Here is a 12276-nt window from a genome sequence, read left to right as displayed (position 1 = left end):
CATGCTGGACAACAGATGGAGACTCTGTCTCAAAACAAAAAACAACAGTAACTATTTCATAATAGCTGTTCGAATGTTAGAATTAAATGTGTTCCTAAATGTACAATTATTGGAGTAGTGTCTAATACATAGTAAGTACTCAATAACTATTGGCTTCTATACCAAAAAATAATCAGTTGGTTGTAAACCTGTTTGTTTGTTTTGTGACAGGGTCTCCTTCTGTAGCCCAGGCTGGAGTGCAGTGGCGGGCTATCACAGCTCACTGCAGCCTTGACACTCCCTGCCCACCAAGCTCAAGTGATCCTCCCACCTCATCCTCTTGAGCAGCTATGGCCATATGTGCCCACAACCATGGCCGGCTAATTTTTTTATCATTTGTAGAGACAGGGTCTTACTATGTGGTCTCGAACTCCTGGCTTCAACTGATCTGTAAACACAATCTTAACCTTCATATTACAGAGCAGTGAAACTCAAAATGTTTCAAAATCTGGTAACATATGAATAAGAATTTGAAAGGAAAGAAAATGTGATCTCACCTACAAGTACAGCATATGGCCCTTTAAACAGCTAAAATAATTCTAGCCATCCCTTCTCTTCGCTGTCAAGATTTAACAACTGCATACAATTCCTTTTTCATTCTGATGATGGTATTTTTGCAGAAATTAGCTTGGCCACTGGAGGGCTCTTGCAGTCTCTCATTAGTTCTAGATAAATGATTTGATAAAAATTAACTTTACTGACAGACAAAGGATGAAGTTTACAAAATACCAATAGCACGGCTGACATGCCCCATTTCAAAAACAATTTGCAATATATAGCAAAAGGATTTAAAATATGTACATTCTTTGATCCAGCTTCTAAAAATGTATCTAATAAACTAATTATAAAGTATTCAATTGTTTTTATTTACATTTCAATTAACTGTTCAATTTAGAAGTAAATTATATGTTATAAAATATGAATCTTGGCCATGCACTGTGGCTCATACCTGTAATTCCAGTACTTTGGGAGGCCGAGGCAGGCAGATCACTTGAGGCCAGGAGTTCAAGACCAGCCTAGGCAACGTAGAGAAACCGTGTCTACTAAAAATACAAAAATTAGCTGGGTGTGGTAGCGTGGGCCTGTAGCCCCAGATAGTCCAGAGACTGAGGCAGAGAATCGCTTGAACCCAGGAGGCGGAGGTTGCAGTGAGCAGAGATCGCACCACTGCACTCCAGCCTGGGCAAGAGAGCAAGATCATGTCTCAAAAAAAATAAATAAAATAAAACATGAATTTGAAAATACAAATTGCTAAATGTACTTCCAAAATATCTGTACAGTTGGAGATTGGTTTTTAAAATATATATAAATATATTTGAAAAATATACACCGAAATGTTAACAACTTTTTTGGGTAGTGAGATTGAGAGTTCTTCCTCTCTTTTGTTCTTTAGGCATTTTCCAGTTCTCCATAATGAACGTGAATTCTTTTGATCATGAGTAAAAAAAAGTTTTAAATTTTAAAATTTAAAATATTTTAAGTATTTTTAAATATTCAGTATTATATAAGGATCTATAAAGAGTACAGGCATACCTCAGAGATAATGTGGGTTCAGTTCCAGATCACCACAATAAAGCAAATATCACAGCAAGGCAAGTCATGCAAATTATTTGGCTTCCCAGTACATGCAAAAGTTATGTTTACGCTATACTGTAATCTATTAAGTGTAGAATAGCAGTAAGACTTTTAAAAATGTACATACCAGCCAGGCACGGTGGCTCATGCCTGTAATCCCAGCACTTTGGGAGGCCGAGGCAGGCCTATCACAATGTCAGGAGTTCAAGACCAGCCTGGCCAATATGGTGAAACTCTGTCTCTGCTAAAAATATGAAAATTAGCTGGGCGTGGTGGCACACGCCTGTAGTCCCAGCTGCTTAGGAGGCTGAGGCAGGAGAATTGCTTGAACCCGGGAGGTGGAGCTTGCAGTGAGCAGAGATCGTGACACTGCACTCCAGCCTGAGTGACAGAGCGAGACTCCATCTCAAAAAAAAAGAAAAGAAAAGAAAGAGGAAGAAAAATGTATATTCCTTAATTTTAAAATACTTTATTGCTTAAAAAAATGCTAATAATGATATGAACCTTCAGCAAGTCAGAATCTTTTTGGTGGTGCAGGGTCTTGCCTCTATGTTGATGTCTGCTGACTGATAAGGGTGGTGGTTGCTGAAGGTTGAGGTGGCTGTGGCAATTTCTTTTTTTCTTTCTTTTTTTTTTTTTTTTTGAGACGGAGTTACACTCTTGTTGCCCAGGCTGGAGTGCAGTGGTGCCATCTTGGCTCACCACAACCTCCGCCTCCTGGGTTCAAGCAATTCTCCTGCCTCAGCCTCCCAAGTAGCTGGGATTACAGGCATGCACCACCACGCATGGCTAATTTTGTATTTTTAGAGGAGACGGGGTTTCTCCATGTTGGTCAGGCTGGTCTCAAACTCCCGACCTCAGGTGATTTGCCTGCCTTGGCCTCCCAAAGTGTTGGGATTACGGGCGTGAGCCACTGCAACCAGCCGGCAATTTCTTAAAATAAGAAAACAATGCCTGTAATCCCAGCACTTTAGGAGGCCAAGGCAGGCTGATCACCTGAGGTTGGGAGTTCGAGACTAGCCTGGCCAACATGGCAAAACCCTGTCTCTACTAAAAATACAAGAATTAGCCAGCGTGGTGGTGGGTGCCTGTAATCCCAGCTACTCGAGAGGCTGAGGCAAGAGGGGAATCACTTAAGCCTGGGAGGTGGAGGTTGCAGTAAGCCAAGATTGTACCACTGCACTCCAACCTGGATGACAAAGTGAGACTCTATCTCAAAAAAAAAAAAAAATTTCTCTGTAGCATGCGGTGCTATTTGATAGCATTTTACCTACAGTAAAACTTCTTTCAATGATATTCCCAGCATCTTCACCAGGAGTATATTCCATCTCAAGAAACCACTTTCTTTGTTCATCCATAAGAAGCAACTCTGCATCTGTCCAAATTTTATCCTGTGATTGCAGCAATTCAGTCACATCTAATTCTAGTTCTTTTACTATTTTCACCACATCTGTGGTGACTACCTCCACTAAGGTTTTGAATCCCTCAAAGTCATGCAGGAGGGTTGGACTCTACTTCTTAACTTGTAAGTGTTGATATTTTGACCTCCTCCCATGAATCATGGGTGTTCTTAACGTCATCTAAAATGATGAATCCTTTCCAGAGGTTTTGTGTTTATTTTGCCCAGATCCAACAGAGGAATCACTATCTATAGCAGCTATAACCTTACGAAATCTTTTTCTTAAATAATAAAACTTGAGGCCAGGCGCGGTGGCTCATGCCTGTAATCCCAGCACTTTGGGAGGCCAAGGCAGGTGGATCACGAGGTCAGGTGTTCAAGACCAGCCTGACCAATATGGTGAAACCCTGTCTCCACTAAAAATACAAAAATTAGCTGGGCGTGGTGGTACATGCCTATAATCCCAGATACTCAGGAGACTGAAGCAGAATAATTGCTTGAATCTGGGAGGCATAGGTTGCAGTGAGCCGAGATCACGCCACTGCACTCCAGCCTGGGTGACAGAGCGAGATGCCACCTCAAAAAATAATAATAATAAAACTTGAAAATCAGAATGACTCCTTGATTCATGGACTTCAGAATGTATGTTGTGTAAGCAGGCATGAAAACAACATTAATCTCCTTGTACATCTCCATCAGAGCTCTTGGGTGACCAGATACATTGTCAATGAGTAGTGATATTTTGAAAGAAACATTGTTTTCTGAGCAGTAAGTCTCAACACTGGGCCTAAAATATTTTGTAAATCATGCTGTAAACAGATGTGCTGTCATCCAGGCTTTGTTGTAGCATTATAGAGCACAGGCACAGTAGATTTAGCATAGTTCTCAAGGATCCCGGGATTTTCAGAATGGTAAATAAGCATTGACTTCAACATAAAGTCAGCAGCTGCATTCGCCCCTAAAGGGAGTCAGGCTCTCTTTTGAAGCTTTGAAACCAGGCATTGACTTCTCTCTAGCAATAAAAGTCCTAGATGGCATCTTCTTCTTCAGATAAGATAAGGTTGTTTCATCTATATTGAAAATCGGTTGTTTGGTATAGTCAACTTTATCAATGATCATAGCTGGATCTTCTGGATAACTTGCTGCAGTTTCTGCATAGGTACTTACTGTTTCACCTTGCACTTTTATATTATGGAGATGGATTCTTTCCTTAAACCTTTGTGTGTTCACTAGAGTTGTACTTTTAATTTCCTTCAAAAACTTTTCGTTTGCATTCACAGCTTGGCTAACTGTTTGGCACAAGAGGCCCAGCTTTCAGCGTATCATGCCATGTTGCAACATTCCTTCCTCACTAAGCTTAACCATTTTTAAGTTTTTATTTAAAATAAGAGAGTTATATATTTTATTATTTATTTTTTTTAATTTTTTTATTTTTTGAGATGGAGTCTCACTCTGTCACCCAGGCTGGAGTGCAATGACGCAATCTCAGCTCACTGCAACCTCCACCTCCCAGGTTCAAATGATTCTCCTGCCTCAGCCTCCTAAGTAGCTGGGTTTACAGGCACGCGCCACCATACCCGGCTAATTTTTGTGCAAAATGGCAGTAGTAAGTCTTTACCTGTCAATAATTACCTTGAATGTAAAGGATTTAAATTCCTCAATCAAAAGGCCTAGGGTAGTAAGGTGGGCTAGGTGTGGTGGCTCATGTCTGTAATCCCAGCACTTTGGAAGGCAGAGGCAGGTGGATTGCTTGAGTTCAGGAGTTCAAGACCAGCCTAGCCAACATGGTGAAACCCAATTTTTACTAAAAATACATGCTAGGCACAGTGGCTCATGCCTGTAATCCCAGCACTTTGGGAGGCCAAGGCAGGCCGATGATTTGAGGTCAGAGTTCTAGACCAGCCTAGCCAACATGGTGAAACCCCACCCCTGCTAAAAATGCAAAAATTAGCCAGGTGTGGTGGCACACACCTGTAGTCCCAGCTACTCAGGAGGCTGAGGCAGGAAAATTGCTTGAACCTGGGAGGCGGAGGTTGTACTGAGCCGAGATGGCACCACTGCACTCCAGCCTAGGCAACAGAGCAAGATTCCATCTCAAAAAAAAAAAAAAAATTAACTATCTTTTCTGACCACAATGGTATGGAACTAGAAATAAATAATAGGAGGAATTTTGGAAAATTCTCGAATATGTGGAAATTAAACAACATGCTCCTGAACAACTGATGGGTCAAAGAAGAAATTAAAAGGAAAATTTTAAAAAATCTTGAGACAAATGAAAACGGAAATAAAATATACCAAGACTTACGGAATACAGCAAAAGCTGTCCTGAAATGGAAGTATATAGCAATAAACTACTACATTAAAAGGAAAGATTCCCCAAAAATCAACCTAATGTTACACCTTAGGGAACTAGAAAAAGAAAAAACTAAGTCCAAAGTCAGTAGAAGAAGGGAAATAATAAAGATAAGACCAGAAATAAATGAAATAGAGACTAGAAAAACAATGCAAAATATCTGTGAAACTCAGAGTTCTTTTTTTAAAAAGATAAAATTGACAAAACCTTAGATGAAGAAAAGAGAGAAAGCTGAAATAAAATAAAGAGATATTACCATTGATATAACATAAACGCAAAGGATGATATAAGACTACTATGAGCAAGTATTGAGTAGTTAAGTAGTACCCAACAAATTGTATAACCTAGAGGAAATGGATAAATTCCTAGACACCTGCAACCTACCAAGATGAAATAAGCAAGAAAATTTGACATACCAATAACAAGTAGAGACTGAATCTTTTAAAAAACAAACAAACAAAAAGTCTCCCACCAAAGAAAAGCCCAGGACCTGATGGCTTCACTGCTGAATTCTTCCCAATATTAAAAAAACTAATACAGGTCAGGCATGGTGGCTCATGTTTGAAATTCCAGCACTTTGGGAGGCTGAGATGGGAGGATTCCTTGAGGCCAGGAGTTTGAGACAAGCCAGGGAAACATAGCAAGACTTTGTCTCTACAAGAAAAATTTTAAAAATTAGACAGTTGTGATGGCACATTTCTGTGGTCCCAGCTACTCAGGAGGCTGAAGTGGGAGAACTGCTTGAGCCCAGGAGTTTGAGGTTACAATGAGCCATGATTGTGCCATTATACACCAGCCTGGGCAACAGAGAAAAACCCTGTCTCAAAAAATAAAAAATAAAGAACTAATAAGGCCGGGCGGGGTGGCTCATGCCTGTAATCCCAACACTTTGGGAGGCCGAGGTGGGGGGATCACCTGAGGTCAGGAGTTCAAGACCAGCCTGGCCAGCGTGGTGAAACCCCATCTCTACTAAAAATACAAAAATTAGCCAGTATGGTGGCAGGTGCTTGTAATTCCAGCTACTTGGGAGGCTGAGGCAGGAGAATTGCTTGAACCCAGGAGGTGGAGCTTGCAGTGAGCCGAGATCATGCCACTGCACTCTAGCCTGGGCAACAGAGTAAAACTCTGTCTCAAAAAAAAAAAAAAAGGGAGAGAGAGAGAACTAATATCAGTTCTTCTCAAACTCTTCCAAAAAAAAAAATTAAAGAAGGAAAACTTCCACACTCATTGTATGAGACCAGTATTACCCTCATTACCCTGATACCAAAAGCAGAGGACACTACAAGAAAAGAAAATCACAGGCCAATATCTCTAATGAACATTGATGTAAAAATCCTCAACAAGGCTGGGTGCAGTGACTCATGCCTGTAATCCCAGCACTTTGGAATGCCAAGGTGGGCAGATCACTTGAGGCCAGGAGTTCGAGACCAGCCTGGCCAACATGGTGAAACCCTATCTCTACTAAAAATACTAAAATTAGCCGGGCACGGTGGCTCACGTCTGTAATCCCAGCACTTTGGGAGGCTGAGGCAGGTGGGTCACCTGAGGTCAGGAGTTTGAGACCAGGCTGGCCAACATGGCGAAACCCCATCTCTACTAAAAATACAAAAAAAAAAAAATTATCTGGGTGTGGTGGCAGGCGCCTGTAATCCCAGCTACTTAGGAGGCTGAGACAGGAGAATTGCTTGAACCCGGAAAGCAGCGGTTGCAGTGAGCCAAGATCACGCCATTGCACTCCAACCTGGGCCATGGAGCAAGACTCTGTCTCAAAAAAAAAAAAAAAAAAAAAAAAAAAAAATTAGCCGGGTGTGGTGATCCACCCCTATTATCCCAGCTCCTCGGGAGGCTGAGGCATAAGACTCGCTTGAACCTGGGAGGTAGAGCTTGCAGTGAGCTGAGATCATGCCACTACACTCCAGCCCAAGTGACAAAGTGAGACTCTGTCTAATAAATAAATAAATAAATAAATAGATCCTCAACAAAATACTAGCAAACCAAATTCAACAACACATTGAAAGGATCATTCACCATGAATAAGTGGGATTTATCCCTGGGTTGTAAGGATGATTTGACATACACAAATCAATAAATGTGCTTTTGTCACGTTAACAGAACGAAGGACAAAAAACATAATTATCTCAATAAATGCAAAAAAGACATTTGACAAAATTCAACATATTTTCATGATTAAAAAAACTCTTAACAAATTAGGTATAGAAATAATGTAACTGAACAAAACAAAGGCCATATACAAGCCCATAGCTAACATACTCAATGAAAACTTGAAAGCTTTTCTTCTATGATCAGGAACAAGATAAGGATGCCCACTCTCACCACTTCTATTCAGCATGGTACTGGAAGTCCTAACCAGAGCAAATAGGCAAAAGAAAAAATAAAAGGCATTCAAACTGGAAAGGAAGAAATTAAATTATCCCTGTTTGCAGATGACATGATTATAAGTATATATTCATAATCATATATATATCACTAAAGATGCCACCAAAAAACTGCTAGAATAAATAAATTTAGTAAAGCTGTAGGATATAAAGTGAACATACCAAAATCAGCATCCTTTCTATAAACTAACAACAAACTATCCAAAAAAGAAATTAAGGAAACAATCTCATTTACAATAGCTATAAAATAAAATAACTTAGAAATAAACTTAACTAAGGAGGTGAAAGACCTGTACACTGAAAACTATAAAACATTAATGAAAGAAATCAAAAACACAATAAAATGAAAAATTATCCCACATTCATGGATTGGAAGAATTAGTATTGATAAAATGTCCATACTACTGAAAGTGATCTATAGATTCAATGCAATCCCTATCAAAATTCCAATTACATTTTCCACAGAAAAGGAAAAAGACTCCTAAAATTTGCATGGAGCCACAAAAGATGCCAAATAGCCAAAGCAGAAAGATGCTGGAGGCATCACACTACCTGACTTCAAAATCTACTACAAAGCTATGGTAATCAAAACAGCATGATACTGGCACAAAAACAAACACATAGATCAATGAAAGAGAACAGATAGCCTAGAAATAAATCCATGAATTTATGGTCAATAATTTTCAACAAAAATGTTAAGAACACACAATGGGGAAAGGATAGTCTCTTCAATAAATGGTGCTTGCACAACTGGATATCCACATGCAGAAGAATGAAATTAGACCTTTATCTCACACTAATACAAAAATCAACTCAAAATGGACTAAAGGCTTGAATATAAGACCTTAAGCCATAAAACTACTAGAACTCATAATGGAAAACTCCAGGACATTGATCTGGGCTATGCTTTTTTGCATATGAACACAAAAGCACAGGCAACAAAAGCAAAAATAGACAAGTGAGATTATATCAAATGAAAAAGCTTCTGAACAGTCGAGGAAACCATCCGCAAAGTAACAAGCAACCTAGACTGAAAGAAAATATTTGCAGACCTTACATTTGATAAATGATTAATGTCCAAAATACTCAAGAAACTCAAACAACTCAACAGCAAGAAAACAAATAATTTAATTTTTATTTATTGTTTTTTTCGAGACAGAGTCTAGCTCTGTCACCCAGGCTAGAGTGCAGTGGTACAGTCTCAGCTCACTGCAACCTCTGCCTCCCGGGTTCAAGCAATTCTCCTGCCTCAGTCTTCCAAGTAGCTGGGACCACAGGCACACACAACCATGCCCAGCTAATTTTTGTATTTTTAGTAGAGACAGAGTTTCACTACATTGGCGAGGCTGGTCTTGAATTCCCGACCTCAAGTAATATGCCCAGCTCAGCCTCCCAAAGTGTTGGGATTACAGGCATGAGCCACTGAGCTTGGCCTATTTATTTATTATTTAGTTTTTTTTTTTTTTTTTTTTTGAGACGGAGTCTCGCTCTGTCGCCCAGGCTGGAGTGCAGTGGCGGGATCTCGGCTCACTGCAAGCTCCGCCTCCCGGGTTCACGCCATTCTCCTGCCTCAGCCTCCCAAGTAGCTGGGACTACAGGCGCCCGCCACTACGCCCGGCTAATTTTTTTGTATTTTTAGTAGAGACGGGGTTTCACCGTTTTAGCCGGGATGGTCTCGATCTCTTGACCTCGTGATCCGCCCGCCTCGGCCTCCCAAAGTGCTGGGATTACAGGCGTGAGCCACCGCGCCCGGCCTATTATTTAGTTTTTTGAGACAGAGTCTCACTCTCTTGCTCACGTTGGAGTGCAGTGGTGTGATCATGGTTTCACTGTAGTGTCGACCTCCCTGGGCTCAGGTGAGGGACTCTTTAGTAACTAGGACTATAAGTGCTTGCCAACATGCCTGGGCAATTTTGTGCATTTGTATTTTTTGTAGAGATGGGGTTTCGCCATGTTGCCCAGGCTGGTCTTGAACTCCTGGGCTCAGGCGACCTGCCCACTCAGCCTCCCAAAGTGCTGGGATGACAGCATGAGCCACCATGTCTGGCCCAAATAACCTGATTTTAAAATGGGCAAAGGATCTAAAGATATTTATTAATAGAAGACATACACACCTGTTAGAATGGCTATTATCAAAAAGACAAAACATAAGTGTTAGGATGTGGAAGAAAAAAAAACTTGCATACAGTTGGTAGAAATGTAAATTAGTACAGTCATTATGGCCAACAGTATAGAGAGTCTTCAAAAAATTAAAAATAGAACACCATGTGATACAGATATCCCACTACTGGGTATATACCAAAAAAATGAAATCAGTGTGTCAAAGAGTTATCTGTACTCCCATTCATTACAGCACTGATTTGCAATAGCCAAGATATGGACTCAACCAAAGTGTCCATCAATGGATGAATGGATAAAAAATATGTGGTGGCTGGGCACAGTGGTTCATACCTGTAATCCTAGCACTTTGGGAGGTCAAGGCAGGAGTTCAGGAGTTCACTTGAGCTCAGGAGTTCAAGACCAACCTGGCCAACATAGGGAGACCCTGTCCCTACAAAAAAATTAAAAAATTAGTTGGGCATGGTTGCACATGCCTGTGGTCACAGCTGCTCCGGAGGCTGAGGTGGGAGGATGACTGGGGCCCAGGAAGTCAAGGTTGTAGTGAGCCAGCAGCCCAAGACCCTGTATCAAAGAGAGAAAGAAAGAAAGAGAGAGAGAGAGAAAGAAAGAAAAAGAAAGAGAGAAAGACAGAAAGAAAGAAAGAAAGAAAGAAAGAAAGAAAGAAAGAAAGAAAGAAAGAAAGAAAGAGATAGAAAGAGAGGGAGAGGGAGGGAGGAAGAAGAAAGAGAAGGAAGGAAGGAAGAAAAGAAAGAAAGAAGAAGGAAAGAGAGAGCAAAAGAAAGAAGAAAGAGAGAGAGAAAGAACAAGAGAAAGAGAGAGAAAAGAAAAAAGGAAGGGAAGGGAAGGAGGAGAGGGAGGGGAGGGGGGAGGAAGGGGGAGGGAAGGGGGAGGGAAGGGAAGGGAAGGGAAAGGAAGGGAAGAAAAGGGAAAGGAATGGAAAGAGAAAATGGGGTATATGTAGCATATATACAAAATGGAATGTTATTCATTCTTGACAAAGGACAACCTGTTATTTTTCAACAACACGGATGAACCTGGAGCATATTATGGGGTGTTGTTGTTTTTCTTTTTAGAGACAGAGTCTTGCTCTGTCGCCCAGGCTGGAGTGCAATGGTGCGATCTCGGCTGACTGCAACTTCCATGGAGGATGTTATTTTAAGTGAAATCAGCCAGGCACAAAAAGACAAATACCATGTGATCTCACTTATATGTGGACTGTAAAAAAGTCAATCTCATAGTAAATTGGTGGTTACCAGAGCCTAGAGAGATTGGGGAGATGTTGGTCAAATAACACAAAATCTTAGTTAGGAGGAATAAGTTCAAGGACCTATGTTACATCGTGGTGACTACAGTTAATAACAATATATTATATACTTGAAAATTACTAAGAGAGTAGATTTTGTGTCCTTACCACAAAATAATAAGAATGGGAGGTAATGCATATGTTAAATAGCTTGATTTAGCCATTCCATGTGTATACACATATCAAAACATGATGTTGTACACCATAAATGTATACGATTTTAATTTACCAATTAAAAGTAAAAATAAGGGCTGGGCGCGGTGGCTAACGCCTGTAATCCCAGCACTTCGGGAGGCCGAGGTGGGCAGATCACGTGGTCAGGAGATCGAGACCATCCTGGCTAACACGGTGAAACCCCGTCTCTACTAAAACTACAAAAAATTAGCCGGGCACGCGCCTGTAATCCCAGCTACTTGGGAGGCTGAAGCAGGAGAATCGCTCGAACCTGGGAGGCAGAGGTTGCAGTGAGCCGAGATCATGCCACTACACTCCAGCCTGGGTGACAGTGCGAGCCTCCGTCTCAAAAAAAAAAAAAAAAAGTAAAAATAAGCCATCGGCAGAATGGATTTTTAATAATGATCTAATGGCCGGGCACGGTGGCTCATACCTGTAATCCCAGCACTTTTTTTTTTTTTTTGAGACAGGGTCTCACTCTGTCACCCAGGCTGGAGTGCAGTGGCGTACATCTGCCTCCCGGGTTCAAGTGATTCTCCTGCCTCAACCTCCTGAGTAGCTGGATGGTGAGTACAGGCATGCACCACCACACCTAGCTAATTGTTTTTGTATTTTTAGTAGAAATGGGGTTTCACCATGTTAGCCAGGCTGGTCTCGAACTCCTGGCCTCAAGTGATCCACCCACCTCGGCCTCCCAAAGTGCTGAGATTACAGGCATGAGCCACTGTGCCTAGCCTAATTCCAGCACTTTGGGAGGCCGAGGTGGGCAGATCACCTGAAGTGAGGAGTTCAAGACCAGTCTGGCCAACATAATGAAACCCTGTCTCTACTAAAAATACAAAAAAATAGCTGGGTGTGGTGGTGTGCGCCTGTAATCCCAGCTACTTGGGAGGCTGAGGCAGGAGAAATCGTGTGA

This window comes from Homo sapiens, chromosome 3, assembly GCF_000001405.40.
Source record: "Homo sapiens chromosome 3, GRCh38.p14 Primary Assembly".
NCBI lineage: Eukaryota > Metazoa > Chordata > Mammalia > Primates > Hominidae > Homo > Homo sapiens.
Note: the sequence above shows the minus strand (reverse complement) of the source record.